Consider the following 18,058-nt stretch of genomic DNA (forward strand, 5'->3'; position numbering starts at 1 on the left):
TTGTATTTTTATTAGAGACGGGGTTTTGCCACATTGGCCGGGCTGGTCTTGAACTCCTGACCTCAGGGGATCCGCTTGCTTAGGCCTCCCAAAGTGCTGGGATTACAGGTACGAGCCATGGCACCTGGCCTCTTATTCTTATATTAAACAGAAGCATAAGAAATTGCCATTTTCATAAGTTAAAACTGGTAAAAAAAAAAATAGCAATTTCATATGGTTAAATTCAAATATTACATTAATTTTCATTTAGTGGTATTATTTTGATCACTTATATTATTAAATTTCTTAGATATTTTGTTTCTTTGCCTTAATCATTTCCCCCCGATAAAAGCTTGGGTTTTTTTTTTTCTAAATATCATCTGTTGTTGATGAAGCCACTAGGTACAGATAAAAGAGGAGGAGATTTATTTCTTAATCTCTGTCTTTTTGGACAAGGTCTGGATAATCTTTTCCTTCTTGGCCTGTAGCTGCTTCTTAAAGCACTAGTGGCCTCAGCATAGTCATTTTATGAGACCATTTTCTGTGGTTTATAACAGACCTGAAACTGGGTAATTTATAAAGAAAAGAAATGTATTTCTGACAGTTATGAAACCTGAGAAGTCCAAGGTTGAGAGAGTGCATCTGTTGAGCGCCTTCTTTCTGGTGGGTACCATGAAGAATCCCGAGCATCACATGGCAATAGGGAGGCATGTGCTAATGCGCTTGCTGTGATCTCTCTTCCTTTTCTTTGAAAGCCTCCAGCTCCTCCCCCATGATAACTCACTAATTCATTAATCCATGAATGCATTAATCTATTCATGAGGAAAGAGCCCTCATGATCCAGTAACCTCTTACAGGTCGTACCTTTCAACACTGTCACATTGCGGATTAAGTTTCCAACACATGAAATTTGGGAGACACAGTCCAACTACAGCGGTCATCCAGGAGCCTCTTGTGAACCCTACCTGCTTTTTCAGCCTGGGGAACGTGTTTCATGAGAATCTTGTTTGTAAATATTTGTTCATCTCTTGGTATGTGCCATGTTACCTAAAGCCATTTGTTTTCTTCAGTCACAAGCTTGCAGATAATGAGCTCATTTTTTTTTTAAATCAGGTTAAAAATTTGCTGATAGAAGTTGGTGTTGGTGATATTACCATTTTCTTTGGAGTCTAGCCATACCTTTTTCTTGCTATAGCAAAGGACTCCTTGAGAGTGAGCCTTTTCTAAAACTTGAGTACTTGACCTCTGGGAACTGCTATTTCATATCTCACGCCTGCCACCCCTATCACTACAATAGGTCCAGTCTCAGGCACCTTTTTCCCAACTAGTTTTAACAGAATATGAAGTGCTTTGCTGAATCCAGAAAAAGACAGACTATTTTGTGGAATAATAACATCTCTTAGGGTGAGATGGCTTATTTTATATGTCAACTTGCTGTGCCACAGTACTCAGATATGTAGTCACAAATTATTCTGGATATTTCTATAAGGGTGTTTTGGGATGAGATTAATGTTTAAGTTTGTGAACTTTGAGTAAAGCAGATTGCCCTCCATGATAAAGGTGGCCCATATCTAATCAGTTGTTGGCGTGAATAGAACATATGACTCACCTCCCCTGAGCAAGATGGAATTCTGCAAGTAGCTACTTTTATATTTGAACTACAATACTGGCTCCCTCCTAAGTCTTTAGCTTGATGGCCTTTGGACTTGAATTGTAGCACTGGCCCTTCTCTGGGTCTCTACTGGCCCGCCCTGTAGATTTTGGGCTTTTAGCCTCTATTCTCAGTGAGCCAATTCCTTAAAAATAAATCTCTTTATATATAAAATAAATCTATCTATCTGTCTATCTATCTATCTATGGTACACACCACACACACACACACACACACACACATTCTATTAGTTCTGTTCCTCTGACAAACCCTGACTAATAATACACAGGGGATGAAAACTAATGTTTATTTAGTGCAGGATACGTGTCAGGCATTCTATACATATTAACTCAGAATCCCCTAGACAACTCTCGGGGTAACAGATGCAAAAAGGTTAAGGAACTTGCCCCAAAGCATCCACTTAATGACAGACCCTGGTTTGAATTAAGGTTTGTATTATTCTAAAGTGTCTTCAACTACATGACCCTGCATGAAAGAAATGCATTTGATAAGTGAATACTTCCTGTGTTCTTATAATAACCTAATAACATAAGGAAGCTATAAAACTCTCTTTTGTTAAGGACCATATTACTCTCTCCTTTTCTCACTTTCTAGCAAACAACTATCTTTTTTTGGTGGTGGTGTTGATTAGCATCTATTCTTCTTTCTAGTAGAACTGATTTAGTTGAGGATTTACCTTTCTCCCATTGTGTATAATTGTGTTAGGAGGGAATTTCAGGCCCACCTCTGCCTGTAACTTTAATGGGTCAGAACAATTCTTTCCCACTTCTTTGAAATGCTAGTTGGTAAGCTTGTGATTTAAGCTCCACTAATTGGAAAGTTTTCCCCAAGGCTTTGAGGTCTGAGCAAGTGATACAAGGACAGAGAGAACAGCCAAAAGTCTTTCATGAAAGCAACCGCTATTGCAGCTCTAAGATAGTTATTATCTCCTGCTTCTTTTTCCCTTGTCTTCCAGAGTTCCCTTGGTTTCTTTCCCATATCAATTCTGGTCCCCTAACTTCCTGTCTTCTCTGAGAGGCCCATATCCTTCTAATAGACTCTCTTTTGTTTACAGTAAAGTCAGTTTCTGCTGCTTTTAAGCAAGGGACATCGTGATGAGGAATCTCAGGACAAAGATCCTGAGGGAAGGGTGAGATATCAAATATGATGCCCTGTGATAATGAGGCTAGGCGAGTTATCACCTACAGTCACTTGGGAAAAAATATCTAAAAGATAAAGTTTGAAGGCTTAGACTAGTTCTACCATGAAATAACATAATGGTTGTGAGGAATTCAAAAACAGCAGTGTAAGGAGGCTCCTTCTGATGGCATTGGAAGAATAAAAGCAAAAAAAATGATAAGCCCAAGATATTAAAATATCATTTTAAAAAATGGATGTAAACGTAGGGACTTTATGTAAAGTTGTTGAAAATATCTCCTATATCTTGTACATACTGAACTGAGAGAGCCAAGATTTAAACTCAGTGTTTAATCACCAGTTGAATTCACAGTCATATCAGTCAGGATGAGCTGGGTTACACTGTAGTAACAAAATAACTCCATGATGTCAGTGGCTTAAAACTTAAGAATTTATTTCTCACTTGTACTGCGTATCCATTGCAGGTTGGTTGGCAGTTCTGCTCTGCATCATCCTTACTGCAGGACCCAGCCTGGTGCAGCAGTGACTATCTGGGGCATTGCTGGTCATTGTGGCAAAGGGAAAGAAAGGAAGTGTGAGGAATTGTGCACTGGCTCTTAAGGCATCTAAAGGAAGTGAGAGAGGTCACATTTGCTCATATATCTTTGGCTAAAGCAAGTCATATGTACTTTAGTAATTTCAAGGGGGCAAGAATGTACAATTCCATCCGGTATAAGAATTGAAAATTTTTGGTGCACAGCAAAAATGACTACTATCAGAATTTGCTATATTTCTTACATGAAAGTTAGTGCATCAATTAGGAAAAAGTAAACCCGAGGCATCAGAGTAATTCAAACCCCCAAACCCCTCTAAGTCCCCACTGAGCCTTTCTTGACAGAAAATGACACTTCTTTGTTATTCAGAAAGCTAGTTTGTTTTCATGCTGGTACATGCCCATGTAGCTTCATCTGAGGGAGTTCACATTGAGAAAAAAGTCAACAGTCTTGCTCATGCCCCACATATTTTCATCCATAAATCATTAATTAGAATTATACCCTGACATGCCCCAGAGTCCAAAATCAATCTTGGAAAATGAAATTTTGCACAACAAAAGAATGGCAAGCAGGAAAATGCCAATGTTTGTTAATCCTAAAGTGGAAAATATATGTGGGAATAGATTTTATGGACGCTTGGCCAAGGAGAGTGCAGCATGATTTTAGTTTTACTGAATTTGTCAATGTGGTTAATGTACCAGAGATTCTGTATAAAATAGACTAGCTAAGTTGATTGTAACAGTTATTTTTGTCTTAGTTAACACACACACACAAATTGAAACATGCAAATGCATTCAGGTGTCAAAGAAAGTTGACATGTTAGAATAATAGAAATGTTTAACTTTAGAAATTATAGACATAGTCAAATCTAAAGGGTCTAGAGGATAGCCTATTCAGCAAACACCTGAAATACATATTGAAGAAAACACAAGTATCTTTAAAACAACTGTTTGAATACATCTGTTTAAAATACTGTTCTCTCTAGTCCAGAAATTCTGTTATGAAATACTTAATTTACAGTGAGCAGTACCATGGGAGTGGGACAGAGCAGGCAAGACCTTCACATCACAGGCAGTGGTTTGGCATGATCATCAGACTGGCCTGCCTGGAAAAACTATCTGCCTCCTTCTAATTGATTGTGGATGAGTTCCCTAGGAAAAAATTGGGAGTAGAGCAACCACATAACATAAAAGAAACAAAAACTCCAGGTCTAACAAACAAGCCTTAAGCCATGAAAAGAAAAAAGTCGTGATCAGATCCCTTAGCCAATTCCTAAAATTACTTGTTTACAGGATCAGATTCCCTTGAATGAAAGGAAGGCCAGACAACCTTGATACTAGATTCTGCTGTAACACTAAGAGAACATCTGGAAGATGTCAAGGTATCCCCACCAAAGGGAAAAACAATTTACAATACTTTGGGCCTTGTACCACTGAGAAAGAGTCCCAACACTTGATATGCCTTGGAATGAGCATATACCCACCTGTGTATCCTGCTTTTGCCATTTGCCAGGTGACTGGAAAGACTTCTGGTTTTGATTGAGGCCCATGGCAAGAAAAGATGCCCTAGCCAAAAAAAAGCATAACATGGTACTGAGCTATTAGTAACATATGCTCATGGCTAGAACAGAGCTAAGAGTGAAAAGAGGAAATGAGTGGGTTATAAACAGTGTAAGACAGTATGAACAATTACATGTGCATATAATTTTTTTTTCTGGAAACACTGGCAGAAATCTCCCCATATTAGAAGATTGGAAGCACATGTTCTCTAAATTGGGAGTTCATAAGAATAATGACCTTAATTCCTGAATTTTTTTCTGATGAATGGAGAATTAGAGCCATTTGTCTACTCTGAAATAGAAAAGTCCATTAAAAGGAGAGGCTGAATATAGTGGTTTGAACTTTTCAATAGTCCCACAATTCCATGTAACTTTCATACAAGTTTTAGCTTATCATCTTGTCTGTTTCCAGCTAGTAAATTCTGTTACTAAGTGTGAATGTTCAGGTATAAAAATTCCTTTATCTTGGGATATTACGTTCTCAATATAGATCACTAGTGTGGTGCACATAGAAATGCCTTTAGCTTAATGTTTCACAATTCTTAACTGTTCAGTTTAGTTATTGTTTTAGCTATATTTGAGATTTTACTGAGTTTATTTGTATTTTTCTGATGTATCATTGTTAATTTAGGGTTTTTCTAGTTACTTTTTGAGCCATAGGATATACTTTTGGCTCATTAGGCATTCATGTCCATTCTCTTTTTTGGTCACAATGTTTTTTTTTTTTTTTTGCATTGAATTATTCCCTTTAACATTTAAAAAAGTTACATGGGTTATCCTGTTATTTAGGGTATGTAAGATATGTAAGTAGCATATATAATTTTTCTTATTAAACATTAATGACATTTTAATTAAAATAGAAGTAACAAAGATTTTTGTCTCAATGTATAGCAGTGATATTTTATTCATATTTACAATGAAAAGTAATGTCGAATTTATCAGACTCTATGACAGAAATATTTCTGGGAAAACAATGGTAGGATTTCTGAGACATTATTTTAAGGACAGTTAACCTGGACTTTTTGTTTTTGTTTGTTTTGCTTTTAAGAGACAATGATCATGTGTATCGGAGGGAGTAATAGTATGTTGTTGATGTGTGGGTGTTTTATGATCATGCTTCACTTGAATTCTCTTCCCTGTTTCATTCCACTTCTTGGAATTCTTCTATTTACTTATGAGAAGAGTGAGTTTCTAAGAGCTATTTTGAGAAGGGCGATGAATGAGTGTGGAATGAATCAAGGGTAATTGACATGCTTGGCATATAAGTTTGTAGAGACAAAACTTTCATTCCAGACAAATGACCAGGTTTGCCATATGAAGTGGACAGCAGATAGTATACTGTCATTAGCAAAGGTTTACTTTCAATACATAAGATGCCATGGAAGGCACAAGAGAGAAGGATTTATATAATTTTAAAAAGGAAAAATATATCTAGATGGACTATGTAAACAATGACTATAAGCAAAGCACAGGGATTTGAATCCTCAGGATGAAAGGGGGAGGAACAGAAGCCTTCAGTATGAACTGGCTTCACGTCAGAGCATCTAAGACAATCAACGATTTCTCACTGAAGATTAACCTCGTTAGCATTTCTCATGCCATTTTATTCAGAAAAGTTTGTCTACTCAAATTTGACTCACATCGTAAATTCTCTGCCTTTTAACTCACCTAAGCTTCAGTATTTGCAGGGTCTGAGAATGGGGAAAGGGAACTAGGTAGGCAAAACTAGAAACTTTACCCATCAGGTAACCATTCATTCATTCATTCAATATTTATTGAGCATTCCCCTCATTTCCAGTGTTGTGCTCATTGCTGGACAGCCAGAAGTGAACAAGCCACACTCATCTCTGCCCTCCTGGAAGTCAGACAAATAGTACTTTACAATAATTTAATTATAAGTCAGATTAATGTTCAAAAATACAGATGTTGGGTTGCTTGGAAACAGTGGAATCTATCCTAGAAGTTCAGGGCCATCTGCAGGGAGTAAAATATATATTAAGAGCTGAATGGGGAGTTAGACTTAGGCAGGTAAAGAGTAGAAGGGGAGGGGTAGTCAAGGGCAGTGGAGGGAGGAGGGCCAATGAGTTTTAAGGAGAGGAAACATATGTAAGACATAAGACTAGAAAGCACAATGAGTGTAAAGAAAGAATGAAGATCCATATTACTGGCACATCACATTTGAGGGAACTAGTGGTAGGAGCTGAGTCTGGATAGGAAGGCAAGGTCCAGATCAAGGAGGGCTTTATAAGCCAAGTCAAAGAATTTGCACCTTATTTAAAGGCTGTGAAAGACCATTGAAGGGTACACGTTAGGTAGTGGGGCAGAAGGATACTAGATTGAGGTCAGAAAGAAGGCTCTGGCTACAATATGTAGAACAGGCTTGGAGAACATTTAGACTGACCAAACTTAAATCCACTTAATTTCAAGGCAAAGCTCACCTGGGAAAGGTTGGAATCCCTTGCAGAGCCCTATAAATTTCTCCAAGTTCAGAGTGGCAGAATTGAGGGTGAGGATGGGTCATGAGGAACTGGGAGGCAGCAAAACGCAGTGCTTCAGATAGGATCTCCCTATATGTTGTTTGCTTATTTTCTCTTGCTGCTTTCAGGATCCTCCCTTTGTCTTTGACCTTTGTGAGTCTGATTATAATATACCTTCATTTATTCTTATTTGGGTTGATTCTGATTGATTGACCTTCCTGTGCTTAAATATTTATATCTTTCTGTTATTATTATTATGACTATTATTTTTTAGTTAGGAAGTACATTTGGTGAGACCCACAAGAGCAGAAGACTTCAGTGCTTCCCCTTCAGTTGCTCTAGGCCAGCAGTTCTCAATCTTGGATGCACATTAGAATTCCTTCTGAATCTTTATGAAAATATTGATTCCTGTAACTTATTTCTGGACTGATGAATCATAATCATGAAAAACTCATGAAATTTTAATGAAAGAAGGATTAAAAACTACCATGAGACTAGTGAAGAGAGGACACAAGCAAAACAGGAGGAAAGGAAGTAGAAATTCAGTGGCTTTTTCATTGGGGGCACTGAGAAAGGGGAAGAAAGTCTGAAAATATTGGGACTATTACATAGACTTGCAGAAGAAAGAGGCCATTTATCTCAAGTTTAAGTTCCATTGTTACTCTTATTGTCTATCCCTACCAATATTTCTTATATTATAAACCTGTTTTATATTTTATCAATATGACTCAGTTTTCTTGTGATTAGCATTTGCCTAGTACATCTTCATCTGTTTACTTTTACAAACTAATGACAATAAAAATTCCTTTACACAACAACTCCCTTCTCCCCTCACATTTTGAATTTTTGATGTCATAATTTACATTTTATATTGCCAATCTCTTAACAAATCATTGTAGTCATTAGTATTTTTAACAGTTTTATCTTTTGGTCTTCTTAGTAAAAATATTAGTGGTTTACACATCATGATTACAATATCAGTGTAACAATCATGGTAGCATCCTTTTATTTTGGTTTGAAGAATTCCCTTTATTGTTTATTTTAGAACAAGTCTGGTAGTAATAAATTCCCTTAGCTTTTTTTGAGAAAGTCCTTATCTCACTTTTATTCCGGATGGATAGTTTTGTTGGCTACAGTATTCTTGGTTTGCAGGGTTTTTTGTTTGTTTGTTTGTTTTCCTTCAGCACTCTGAATATATTGTCCCACCCACTCCTGGCTTCTCAGGTTTTGCTGAATAGTCTGCTGTCAGGTGTATTGGATCTCCCTATATGTTAACTTGCTTATTTTTTCTTGCTGCTTTCAGAATCCTCTTTGTCTCTGATGTGTGAGTTTGAGTACAATATACCTTTGGGTATTCTTATTTGGGTATTCTCATTGGGTATTCTGATTGATGACCTTTGACCTTCCTGTACTTAAATATTTATATCTTTTTCTAGGTTTGGAAAGTTACTATTATTATTACTATTATTTTTAGACACAGGATTGTGCTCTGTCATCCAGGCTAGAATTCAACAGTGTGATCACAACTCACTGCAGCCTTGAACTCCTGGGCTCAAGTGATCCTTCCATCTCACCCTTTTTCTTTTCTTTTTTTTTTTTGAGACAGGATCTCACTCTGTTGCCCAGGCTGGAGTGCAGTGACAAGATATCAGGTCACTGCAACCTCTGCCTCCTGGGTTCAAGTGATTCCCATGCCTCAACATCCCAAGTAACTGAGATTACAGGTATGAGGCACCATTGGTGGCTACTTTTTGTATTTTTTTATTATAATTATACTTTAAGTTCTGGGGTACATGTGCAGAACATGCAGGTTTCATACATAGGTATATATGTGCCATGGTGTTTTGCTGCACCCATCAATCCATCATCTACATTAGGTATGTCTCCTAATGCTATCCCTCCCCTAGCCCCCCACCCCCCAACATGCCCCACTGTGTGACGTTCCACTCCCTGTGTCCATGTGTTCTCATTGTTCACCTCCCACTTATGAGTGAGAAAATGCAGTGTTTGTTTTTCTGATCCTGTGTTAGTTTGCTGAGAGTGATGGTTTCCAGCTTCATCCATTTTCCTGCAAAGGACATAACTCATCCTTTTTTATGGCTACATAATATTCCATGCCACATTTGGTTTATCCAGCCTATCATTGGTGGGCATTTGGGTTGGTTTCAAGTCTTTGCTATTGTGAACAGTGCCACAATAAACATACATGTGCATGTGTCTTTATAGTAGAATGATTTATAATCCTTTGGGTATATACCCAGTAATGGGATCACTGGGTCAAATGGTATTTCTAGTTCTAGATCTTTGAGGAATTGCCACACTGTCTTCCACAATGGTTGAACTAATTTACACTCCCACCTACAGTGTAAAAACTTTCCTATCTCTCCACATCCTCTCCAGCATCTGTTGTTTCCTGACTTTTTAATGATCACCATTCTAACTGGCATGAGATGGTATCTCACTGTGGTTTTGATTTGCATTTCTCTAATGACCAGTGATGATGAGCTTTTTTTCATACGTTTGTTGGCTGCATAATTTCTTCTTTTGAGAAGTGTCTGTTCATATCCTTTACCTACTTTTTGATGAGGTTGGTTTTTTTTCTTGTAAATTTAAGTTCTTTGTAGATTCTGGATATTAGCCCTTTGTCAGATTGATTGCAAAAATGTTCTCCCATTCTGTAGGTTGCCTGTTCACTCTGATGATAGTTTCTTTTGCTGTGCAGAAGCTCTTTAGTTTAATTAGATCCCATTTGTCTATTTTGGTTTTTGTTGCCATTGCTTTTGGTGTTTTAGTCATGAAGTCTTTGCCCATGCCTATGTCCTGAATGGTATTGCCTAGGTTTTCTTATAGGGTTTTTATGGTTTTAGGTCTTACATTTAAGTCTTTAATCCATCTTGAATTAATTTTTGTATAAGGTGTAGGAAGGGCTCCAGTTTCAGCTTTCTGCATATGGCTAGCCTGTTTTCCCAGCACCATTTATTAAATAGGGAATCCTTTCCTCATTTCTTGTTTTTGTCAGGTTTGTCAAAGATCAGATGGTTGTAGATGTGTGGTTTTATTTGTGAGGCCTCTGTTCTGTTCCATTGGTCTCTCTCTGTTTTGGTACCAGTACCATGCTGTTTTGGTTACTGTAGCCTTGTAGTATACTTTGAAGTCAGGTAGCATGATGCCTCCAGCTTTATTCTTTTTGCTTAGGATTGTCTTGGCTATGCAGGCTCTTTTTTTGTTCCATATGAAATTTAAAGTAGTTTTTCCTAATTCTGTGAAGAAAGTTAATGGTAGCTTGATGGGGATAGCATTGAATCTATAAATTACTTTGGGCAGTATGACCATTTCACGATATTGATTCTTCCTATCCATGAGCATGGAATGTTCTTCCATTTGTTTGTGTTCTCTCTGATTTCATTGAGCAGTGGTTTGTAGCTCTTCTTGAAGAGGTCCTTCACATCCCTTTAAAGTTGTATTCCTTGGTATTTAATTGTCTTTGTAGCAATTGTGAATGGGAGTTCACTCATGATTTGGCTCTCTGTTTGTCTATTTTTGGTGTATAGGAATGCTTGTGATTTTTGCACATTGATTTTGTATCCTGAGACTGTGCTAAAGTTGCTTATCAGCTTAAGGAGATTTTGGGCTGAGACGATGGGGTTTTCTAAATATACAATCATGTCATCTGCAGAGACAATTTGACTTCCTTTCTTTTTATTTGAATACCCTTTATTTCTTTCTCTTGCCTGACTGCCCTAGCCAGAACTTCCAACACTATATTGAATAGGAGTAGTGAGAGAGGGCATCCTTGTCTTGTGCTGGTTTTCAAAGGGAATGCTTCCAGTTTTTGCCCATTCACTATGATATTGGCTGTGGGTTTCTCATAAATAGCTTTTATTATTTTGAGATACGTCCCATCAGTTTATTGAGAGTTTTTAGCATGAAGGGGTTTATTGAGAGTTTTTAGCATGAAGGGGTGCTGAACTTTATTGGAGGCCTTCTCCGCATCTATGGAGATAATATGTGGTTTTGGTCATTGGTTATGTTTATGTGATGGATTACCTTTATTGATTTGTATATGTTGAACCAGCCTTGCATCTCAGGGATGAAGCTGACTTGATCATGGTGGATAAGCTTTTTGATGTGCTGTTGCATGGGGTTTGCCAGTATTTTATTGAGGATTTTTGCATCATTGTTCATCAGGGATATTGGCCTGAAATTTTTTTCGTGTGTGTGTTTCTGCTAGGTTTTCATATCATGATGATACTGGCCTCATAAAATGAATTATGGGGGATTCCCTCTTTTTCTATTGTTTGGAATAGTTTCAGAAGGAATGGTACCAGCTTCTCTTTGTACCTCTGGTAGAATTCAACTGTGAATCTGTCTGGTCCTGGACTTTCTTTGGTCAGTAGGCTATTAATTAGTGCCTCAATTTCAGAACTTGTTATTGGCGTATTGAGGGATTTGACTTCTTCCTGGTTTAGACTTGAGAGGGTGTATGTGTCCAGGAATTTATCCATTTCTTCTACATTTTCAGGTTTTATTTGCATAGAGGTGTTTATATTATTCTCTGATGGTAGTTTGTATTTCTGTGGGATCAGTGGTGATGTCCCCTTTATCATTTTTTATTGCATCTATTTGATTCTTTTCTCCTTCTTCTTTTTTAGTCTGTCTAGTGGTCTATTTTGTGGATCTTTTCAAAGAACCAGCTCCTGGATTTCTTGATTTTTGAAGGGTTTTTTGTGTCTTTATCTCCTTCAGTTCTGCTCTGATCTTAGTTATTTCTTGTCTTTTGCTAACCTTTGAATTTGTGTGCTCTTGCTTCTCTAGTTCTTTTAATTGTGATGTTAGGGTGTTGACTTTAGATCTTTTTTGCTTTCTCTTGTGGGTATTTAGTGCTAGAAATTTCCCTCTAAACACTGCTTTAGCTGTGTCTCAGAGATTCTGGTATGTTGTGTCTTTGTCTTTATTGGTTTCAAAGAACTTACTTATTTCTGCCTTAATTTAGTTATTTACCCAGTAGTCATTCAGGGGCAGGTTGTTCAGTTTCCATGTAATTGTGCAGTTTTGAGAGAGTTTCTTAATCTTGAGTCCTAATTTGATTGCACTGTGGTCTGAGAGACTGTTTGTTATGATTTCTGTTCTTTTGCATTTGCTGAGGAGTTTTTTACTTCCAATTATGTGGTCAATTTTAGAAGTAGTGTGATGTGGTGCTGAGAAGAATGTATATTATATTGATTTTGGGCAGAGGGTTCTGTTGATATCTCTTAGGTCTGCTTGGTCCAGAGCTGGGCTCAAGTCCTGAATAGCCTTGTTTATATTCTGTCTCATTGATTGTCTAATATGGACAGTGGGGTGTTAATATCTCCCACTATTATCGTGTGGGAGTTTAAGTCTCTTTGTAAGTCTCTAAGAACTTGCTTTATGAATCTGGGTTCTCCTGTATTGGGTGAATATATAATTAGGATAGTTAGCTCTTCTTGTTGCATTGATCCCTTTACCATTATGTAATGCCCTTCTTTGTCTCTTTTGATCTGTGTTGGTTTAATGTCTTTTTTATCATAGACTAGGATTGCAACCCATGCTTTTTTTTTTTTTTTTTTTGCTTTCCATTTGCTTGGTAAATATTCCTCCATCCCTTTATTTTGAGCCTATGTGTGTTTTTGCATGTGAGATGGGTCTCCTGAATACAGCACACTGATGGGACTTGGCTCCTTATCCAATTTGCCAGTCTGTGTCTTTTAATTGGGGCATTTAGCCCATTTACATTTAAGGTTAATATTGTTATGTGTGACTTTGATCCTGTCTTTATGATGCTAGCTGGTTATTTTGTCTGTTAGTTGATGCAGTTTCTCCATAGTGTCTATGGTCTTTACAGTTTGGTATGTTTTTGCAGTTGCTGGTACCAGTTGTTCCTTTCAATATTTTGTGCTTCCTTCAGGAGCTCTTGTAAGGAGCTCTGTAAGGCAGGCTTGGTGGTGACAAAATCTCTCAGCATTTGCTTGTCTGTAAAGGATTTTATTTCTCCTTCACTTAGGAAGCTTAGTTTGTCTGGATATGAAATTCTGGGTTGAAAATTCTTTTCTTTCAGAATGTTGAATATTGGCACCACTCTCTTCTGTTTTATAGGGTTTCTTCAGTGAGATCCATTGTTAGTCTGATGGGTTTCCCTTTGTGGGTAACCTGAACTTTCTCTCTGGCTGCCCTTAACATTTTTTCCTTCATTTCAACCTTGGTGAATCTGATGATTATGTGTCTTGGGGTTGCTCTTCTCGAGGAGTATCTTTGTGGTGTTCGCTATTTCCTGAATTTGAGTATTGGTCTGTCTTGCTAGGTCAGAGAAGTTCTCCTGGAAAATATCCTGAAGAGTGTTTTCCAACTTGGTTCTATTCTCCCCATCACTTTCAGGTGCACCAATCAAATGTAGGTTTGGTCTTTTCACATAGTCCCATATCTCTTGGAGGCTTCGTTTGTTCCTTTTCATTCATTTTTCTCCAATCTCTCTTCATACTTTATTTCATTAAGTTGATCTTCAATCTCTGATATCCTTTATTCCACTTGATTGATTTGCTATTAATACCTCCGTATGCTTCATGAAGTTCTTGTGCTGTATTTTTCAGTTCCATCAGGTCATTTTTATTCTTCTCTAAACTGGTTATTCTAGTTAGCAATTTGTCTACCTGTTATTCAAGGTTCTTAGCTTCCTTGAATTGGTTTAGAACATGCACCTTTAGCTTGGAGGAGTTTGCGTTTACTCACCTTCTGAAGCCTACTTCTGCCAATTCATCAAGCTCATTCTCCATCTAGTTTTGCTCCTTTGCTGGCGAGGAGTTGTGATCCTTTGGAGGAGAAGGGGCATTCTGGTTTTTGGAATTTTCAGCCTTTTTGCACTGATTTCTCCCCATCATCATGGATTTATATACCTTTGGTCTTTGATATTGGTGACCTTCATATATGGTTTCTGAGTGGACGTCCTTTTTATTGATGTTAATGTTGATGCTATTCCTTTCTGTTTGTTAGTTTTCCTTCTATCAGTCAGGCCCCTGTGTTGCGGGTCTGCTGGAGTTTCCTCGAGGTCCACTCCAGGCCCTGTTTGCCTGGGTATCACCAGTGAAGGCTCCAGAACAGCAAAGATTGCTGCCTGTTCCTTCCTCTGGAAGATTTATCCCAGAGGGGCACCCACCAGATGCCAGCCAGAGCTCTCCTATATGAGGTGTCTGTTGACCCCTGCTGGGAGATGTCTCCCAGTCAGGAGACAAGGTGGTCAGGGACCCACTTGAGGAGGCAGTCTGACCCTTAGCAGAGCTCGAACGCTGTGCTGGGAGATCCACTGCACAGAGCCAGCAGGCAGGAATGCTTAAGTCTGCTGAAGCTCTGCCCACAGCCACCCTTTCCCCCAGGGTGCTGTGTCCCAGGGAGATGGGAATTTTATCTGGAAGCCCCTGACTGGGGCTGCTGCCTTTTTTTCAAAGATGCCCTGTCTAGAGAGGAGGAATCTAGAGAGGCAGTCTGGCTACAGCGGCTTTGCTGAGCTGCAGAGGGCTCCACCCAGTTTTAACTTCCCCATGGGTTTGTTTACACTGTGAGGGGAAAACCACTTACTCAAGCCTCAGTAATGGCGACACCCTTCCCCCACCAAGCTCGAGTGTCCCAGGTAGACTTCAGATTCTGGTGCTGCCAGCGAGAATTTCAAGCCAGTAGATCGTTTCTTGCTGGGCTCTGTGGGGGTGTGAGCCGCTGAGCTAGACCACTTGGCTCCTTGGCTTCAGCCCCCTTTCCAGGGGAGTGTCACTTCTGTCTCGCTGGCGTTCCAGGCACCACTGGGGTGTGAAAATAACTCCTGAAACTAGCTCTATGTCTGCCCAAATGGCTGCCTGGTTTTGTGCTTGAAACCCAGGGACCTGTTGGCATAGGCACCTGAGGGAATCTCCTGGTCTGCGGTTTGCAAAGACCACGGGAAAAGCATAGTATTTGGGCCCGGGTGCACCGTTCCTCATGGCACAGTCCCTCATGGCTTCCCTTGGCTAGGGGAGGATGTTTTTCCCTCAGTGTTTTTGATGCTTATGGATGTGTGACAATGTCTGTACATTGAGGGATTAGGTATTTATTTTAGTCTTCACCATCCAGCTTTGTGCCTGCTTTTCTTTTCAGAGGGCCTTCCATGGTTCTAAGCAGACTGATGGTTGTGTTCCCTGAGCCTGTGACCAATGCAGCTGTCTCAGCAAAAGGAAACACTCTTAGCTTGCCACAAGTCTCACAAGGACTCTGTGGTTGATATGGCTTTCCAGCACAGATGGACCGGGGAAGACTCAAGGAATGTACTGGGCCTGTAAGGGAATACTGTTCACGGACCTGAGTCTCAAAAACTATACCAATGGCCCAGCAGGCATGCCTCTCAGCAGGTCTCTGCACTGGCAGGATGGGTCTCAGGCTGTAGCTAGAGGGGCTGGAGTTGAGATTGGCCCCTTCAGGATCTGCTGTGGGGAGGAGCCTAGTTGGCCTGTCTTACTGGCTTACATGAGTGTGCATCACCCAGCAGATACCTGCACAAGCATGTGCAGTAGGAAGAGCTGGAGCTGAGACTGGGCCCTTTGGGATCTATTGTGGAATGGAGGCTGCCTTGTCTATCACATTGTCTTAGACAAGTCTTTGCCTCTCAGCAGGTCCCTGCACAGACAGGATAGTTGCCAGACTGCAGTAAGAGGGGCTGTAACTGAGGCTGGGCCCTCTTCAGATTTGTTGTGAGATGGAGGCTGGAGAGCTCAGTCTCCTTGGCTCAGAGGGGCACACACATCTCCCAGGAGGACCCTGACGAGGCCAGATAGTTCGTCAACTGCAGCAAGACAGGCTGGAGCTGAGAATGGGCCACTTCAGGATCAGCTGTGGGCTGGAGGTTGGTGACGTTGTCAGGCTCCCTCTGCATCCTTGTGTGAGCAGCTCTGAGCTGGGATCTCATCTTAGTGGGATTAGAGCAGAGCCATGAGCTAACTTTCAGGTTCACTGCTGAGACCTCTGTCAGAGGGCAGACAAGCCTTTACGTCAAGGCACCAGTGTGCAAGATTCGTTCTGGAGTCCTTAACAGATTGGTTTTGGTTCCAGGCTTAAGGCCAAATGGGGCTGTAGCTAAGCTCCTTAAAGGACTGGGCCAATTCCAGGCTTGAACTTTGGAGCAAGATTGCCAGATTAGCTACCTGGGTGTTGGTGTGCATTCTCTAAACCACCCTCCTAAGTCTTGGGCTCCACCAGGGTTTCATAGACTTTTACTCAAAGCCTAAGATTCCTGCAGAGACACTTTTGACCATAGATTGGTGCAGAATTCTTGTTGTTGTTGGGGGATATAAGTGGGTTACCTTCTATTTTGCTGTCTTGCTATTCAAACTTTTTTTTTTTTTTTTTTTTTTCAGACAGCGTCCCACTCTGTCACCCAGGCTGGAGTTCAGTGGTGTGATCTTGTCTCACTGAAACCTCCGCCTCCCAGGTTCAAGAAATTCTCCTACCTCAGCCTCCCGAGTAGCTGAGATTACAGGTGCCCACCACCATGCCCAGCTAATTTTTGTATTTTTAGTAGAAATGGGGTTTTACCATGTTGGCTAGGCTGGTCGCTATTCAAACATTTTTTTTAAAGACAGCATCTTGAAAATAAAAAAGGTCTCACCTCCCAGAGTAAGTGAGATATACTTTAATTGGTATTCAGAACCTACCAAAGAAAAAATCATGAACACATTCTCTCCAAGACACTGTTTAAATTGGTAAAGGAAAACAAAGATTTAAAATTAAAATCTTCAGAAGAAAGTCCACCTTCAACATCCTTCTTATGGCCCTCTTTGGCAGGACTCCTGTTTGCAGACTCAAAAATTTCTCCCCTCTCTCCTCTACAGCTACCTAAGCAGCTGAACCTAAACTTGTTCTACAAACCCCTAAATTGACCATCCCCCACAGTGGCCTTTCCTACTCCTGCTCTAATTCTCGCATATCTTTTTAAATACTGCTCAAACAACAAAGGGAATTTACCGGTGGTAGGTGGTATCTTACACCTTCTAGTTTTATTTCGAGTTGGGCATGATAGCCAAATAATTTCCCAGGGTGACTGAGGAAACCCTAAGATTTGCTGAGGAATTCACAATGGTGCGCATAACTTATGTCCCTGGATTTTCTGATTTATACTGGCTAATAGCTTTGCTTGTAGGGCTACAATGAGCAAGCTATTGGGCAAAAATAGCAAGATGAAAAAATCCTTCTGATGATTTAAATTTAAATCTTCCCCAAGATACAAAAAAAACTTAAAAATTTGCTGACGAAATAATTAAAGCTATTCCCACAGCTTTACTAAAGCCAGTGGTTTAGAATATAATTCAGGGTGGCACTCAGAGAGGGCAAATGAGCTCGTGATTATTATAATAGACTAGAGGTATATTCAAAGAAAATTCTTGTCTCACAAAAAAGAGTGATGCCACTAAAGTAAGCTCCATGTTTGTCAATAGTGTTGATGAAGATTTAGCCATATTGGCTAAAAGAGCATAGCTAAGTTGAGAAACCATAAATACTTGGTAAGTTTGGCTAATCAATTATCTCAAACCTTAAATAAGGCCCATCAATCAAAAGCTAAATGGATAATGAATTTATAGCTGCAATAATTAACCAGTAATACAGGCTCTCAGAATTCTTCTAAAGGAGTCTGAAACTATTGCAAAAAGTCTGGACATTAGGTTAAAGATTG

General features: G+C 39.5%; 4 annotated features.

The window, feature by feature from the left end:
• Positions 14,600 to 15,101: an enhancer, noted in NCBI's record as "H3K4me1 hESC enhancer chr1:186481023-186481524 (GRCh37/hg19 assembly coordinates)". NCBI's record gives its function as "activates a minimal SCP1, AML or CMV promoter by ChIP-STARR-seq in primed H9 embryonic stem cells {active_cell/tissue: H9 hESC(primed)}" and the evidence as "EXISTENCE:reporter gene assay evidence [ECO:0000049][PMID:30033119]".
• Positions 14,600 to 15,198: a biological region, named in NCBI's record as "H3K4me1 hESC enhancer GRCh37_chr1:186481023-186481524".
• Positions 14,909 to 15,028: an enhancer, noted in NCBI's record as "active region_2249". NCBI's record gives its function as "activates an Ori minimal core promoter by ATAC-STARR-seq in GM12878 lymphoblastoid cells {active_cell/tissue: GM12878}" and the evidence as "EXISTENCE:reporter gene assay evidence [ECO:0000049][PMID:35858748]".
• Positions 15,069 to 15,198: an enhancer, noted in NCBI's record as "active region_2250". NCBI's record gives its function as "activates an Ori minimal core promoter by ATAC-STARR-seq in GM12878 lymphoblastoid cells {active_cell/tissue: GM12878}" and the evidence as "EXISTENCE:reporter gene assay evidence [ECO:0000049][PMID:35858748]".

Source organism: Homo sapiens, chromosome 1 (assembly GCF_000001405.40).
Source record: "Homo sapiens chromosome 1, GRCh38.p14 Primary Assembly".
NCBI lineage: Eukaryota > Metazoa > Chordata > Mammalia > Primates > Hominidae > Homo > Homo sapiens.